The sequence below is a fragment of the Homo sapiens genome, chromosome 14 (genome assembly GCF_000001405.40).
Source record: "Homo sapiens chromosome 14, GRCh38.p14 Primary Assembly".
Classification (NCBI taxonomy): Eukaryota; Metazoa; Chordata; class Mammalia; order Primates; family Hominidae; genus Homo; species Homo sapiens.
The window spans coordinates 69,002,862-69,006,343 of NC_000014.9; the positions used below are offsets into that span (position 1 = coordinate 69,002,862).

The 3,482-nt window shown below is 54.0% G+C and overlaps 1 annotated feature.

The window, feature by feature from the left end:
• Positions 2,008-3,207: an enhancer, noted in NCBI's record as "CDK7 strongly-dependent group 2 enhancer chr14:69471586-69472785 (GRCh37/hg19 assembly coordinates)". NCBI's record gives its function as "activates an origin of replication core promoter dependent on BRD2, BRD4, P300/CBP, MED14 and CDK7 cofactors, with strong dependence on CDK7, by STARR-seq in HCT116 cells {active_cell/tissue: HCT116}" and the evidence as "EXISTENCE:reporter gene assay evidence [ECO:0000049][PMID:35650434]".

Sequence of the window (3,482 nt, forward strand, 5' to 3'; positions counted from 1 at the left end):
ATGTCTCAGGCTAGGGGGAAAAAACACAGGCAGAGCTCTCTATCTCCTAGAACACCTTCCCCTGATCAACCTCTTTCCTTCCACCCTCAGGGAGGTCAAGCCCACCTAGTGACTGACACAGTCCCTGACCACCTGATCTGCAGCTCTAAAACCTCCTCCTGAGGCCATCGGGGCCACACCCTGTCTTCTCCTCCCTCCTCCTTCATGGCCAACCAGCTTGACGGTTCCGTTTCTTTGATACTTTCTAGCAAAATCCTCCAACTAATTTGCCTGTCTTGCATCTCCATCTCCTTCCATCCCATTCTCTCCTGCACTCTCATCAGGCCTAAGTCCCCATCCCCGCTTTGCAGCTGCTGCGGTCAAAGCTGCCATGAACTTCAACTTGCCCATCTGGATGGTCTGGGGTGGTCCTCGTCTTTTGGGCAAGTCTGCAGCTTTTGGCAGAGGTCAGCGTCCCCTCTTTTTTGCCTCTGCACGAACTGTCATCAGGACACCGTTTGCCTGGTCCCACTCGCTGGCTCCTTTTCAGTCTCCTGAGCTGGTTCAACCTCCTCTTCCTGACCTCCACAAGTCGGAGGCCAAGGCTCATTCCTCACTCCTCCTGCTCTCCCATCTGTTTCTCCAGGGGACCCCGCCTCTCCCCAGTGGTCAGTTCCATCTGGAAGTGAATGAAAGGTAGGTTTCTAACCCCTAGGTGTCACCTCCTCTCCCTGACCTGCAGTGGCTTCCTGTTGGGTCTCTCAGCTCCCCCACCTGACCTCCCATCATCTGTTCTCCACATAGCATCCAGCCACCCTCCTAAACCTAAGTCATGCCACTCCTTTGCCCAAAACCTCCATGGCCTCCCATCAGACGGAGAGAAACAGGTGGACCCCACTCGTCCCAGTGACTCGGCCCTGCCTGCCCCTCACTCTGTTCACCACGGCACTCTGTTGTCCCTCCACTCAACCCCTTTGGCCTCCTTGCCACACCTCGTGTGTGTCAAGGTCCTTCTGGCCTCAGAACCTCTGTACTTGCTGTTCTTTCTGCCTGAAACACCCTTCCCCGCAGATCCGCAGGTTTCCCCATCTTACACCATTCAGGCTTCTCTCTACTCATTGCTGTCTTCTCAGGGGACTGCGCGGAACCTTCCACACTAGTCACTCCCTCTCCGAAACTTGCTGCATGCTTCTTCCTCACACTCATGGCCCAACTTGATTACATCAGATATTGGATTGTTTCTTGTCCTGCCTGCTGCCTGTTTCATATGTAAGCTCCATGAGAGCAGGGCCTTGTCTGCTTCATGCACAGCTGAGCTGCAGAGCCCAGCACAGTGCCTGCTACATAGCAAGTGTTGAATGAATAAATGAATGAACGAGTAAACAGATACATGTTGCTTGTGACACTCCGGACACATGCTGTGAGGAAGGCACCTGGGCTCAGGCTGATCTGCCTAAGGGGCTGCAGTGCCCCTCGGAGCTGCTTCCAGGGAAGCTCCTATTCCCCTGGGCCATGGCTGCTGTCCTTGTGTCTGGCTCTCAGAGATCCCCAGGCCAGCCCTGTGTGCTATTTGGATCCCGATCTCCTTCATTCCTATACCTGGGTCTCCAGAGGCCTAGGCACAGGCAAGGCTTCTTCCACCCCCAGCCCCCAGGTCAGTCTATGAACTGCGAGCACGAGGGGGACTCAACAGTCACCCACACCCTTTCCCACTTTGGTCCAGTCTCCCTGGAGGATGCTGTGAGTTCCAGCATGGTCCTTTGAGCAAGCTGAGACATCAGAGAAGCCACTGCCACAGACTGAATTATGTCTTCCATAGTTCCTACCTCGAAGCCTTAACGCTCCATGTGGCTGTATTTGGAGACAGGTCCTTCAAGGAGGCAATTACGGCTAAATGAAGTTATAAGGATGGGGCTCTGAGCCAATAGGATTAGTAAGAGGCACAAGAGAGAGTGAGCATGCTCTGTCTCTGTCTCCCTCCCTCCCCTTCCTTTCCCTCCTCCCTCTTCCCCCAGCTCTCCCTGCCCTCTCCCCATCTTCTCCTCCCTCACCACCCTCTCCCTCACAGAAGAGCTCATGTGAGCATACAGCAAGACGACAGCCACTACGAGCCAAGAGGAGAGGTCTCAGAGTGAAAGCTGCCTTGCTGGCATCCTAAACTTCCAGCCTCCAGAACTATGAGAAATCGATTTCTGGTGTTCAAGTCATCCAGTCTCTGGTATCTTGTTGTGGAAACCCGAGCAGTCTAACACACCAACCTCCAACACACCCAGCTCTAGAGGCTCCTGCTGCCACAGGGTGAGCTGGTTAACACTGGGAGGGGATTGGGGGAAGATGATAGACCGATAGATAATAGATTGATAGATATAGATAGATACTGCTCCTGTCCTTTCCATTCGCCCCCTTGAAATTCTACCCTCAGAAATTCACCTTTAAGGAATGAGAGGAATGTAGCTGCCTCTTCCAAGAGACCTCCCAGCCTCACCTTCCCTAGCCCAGATTGGTCTCTCCCTCAGCTGAGATTCATCTTCATCCTCCCGGCCCTCAGCCCTTGCCTCCTCCAGCTCCTGGCCATCCTCTCATCCCAAGGGTACGTCCTTCGGCAGCTGGGCTCATTTATTCCTCACACTGGTTTCTTCTAAGTAGGGAAGTTTCTAAACCTTTCTGTGAAAAAAGAAAGAAATCCTGCAGGGAAAGGGGTTCAAACAGGTTGTACAACCCATCCCCAGAGTCTGATTCACTTGGTGTGGGCGTGTGCCTGAACTCTGTATATTAAGCAAACACCCTGGTCTTACACCGAAGACCCTCTGCTGACCTTATGAAAGAGACTGTGTAAGAAATGCAGATGCCTGGGCCTCACCCCAGAGATCCTGATTCCACTGCCTCTTCCTTGCCTTGTGGCTTCACCCACTTCCAAACCCCCTGATTCTGGTGTGCTGCCAGGGATGAGAGCCACGGACTTACCGGGTGCTCAGGGAATAAGCATTGACCTGAATGAAGCTGCTGGGTTGACACAGGCATCCTTCCGGGAGGGGTGAGTCATTCAGCCATGCTGCCAGCTGTGAACAATTCAGTCTGGGGAAATACAAAGAGACGTGGTCCCTCTCAGAGTTTCCATTCCCACATGGAAAGCTGGTGCTGGGAAGTGGCTGGGCAGCCAGGCTGGGCGCTGGGAGGAGTGCAGGGTGAGGATGAGAGAAGGGCTGTACCCACACTATGCTAGGCCGACTCCAGGCACTGGCTGTGTCCAGCTGGTTCAATCTTTCCAGCAAACCTGCGAGGAGGGATGTCATAGGTGAGGAAACCAGGTCTGCAGAGTTGAGGTGTCTGGTCTTGAACCCACGTGTGTCCTAACCATGACATGGTCCTCCTCCAGGAACTGTGCGGGGGCAGAAAGAGGGCTCAGGGATCCAGCCTCAGGCATTGGCCTCAAGGGATACGGTGGCAGGGGTGTCTTAGAAGCCTGCTGACCAAGGGTTAGGATCTCTCCATCAATTGGTGGC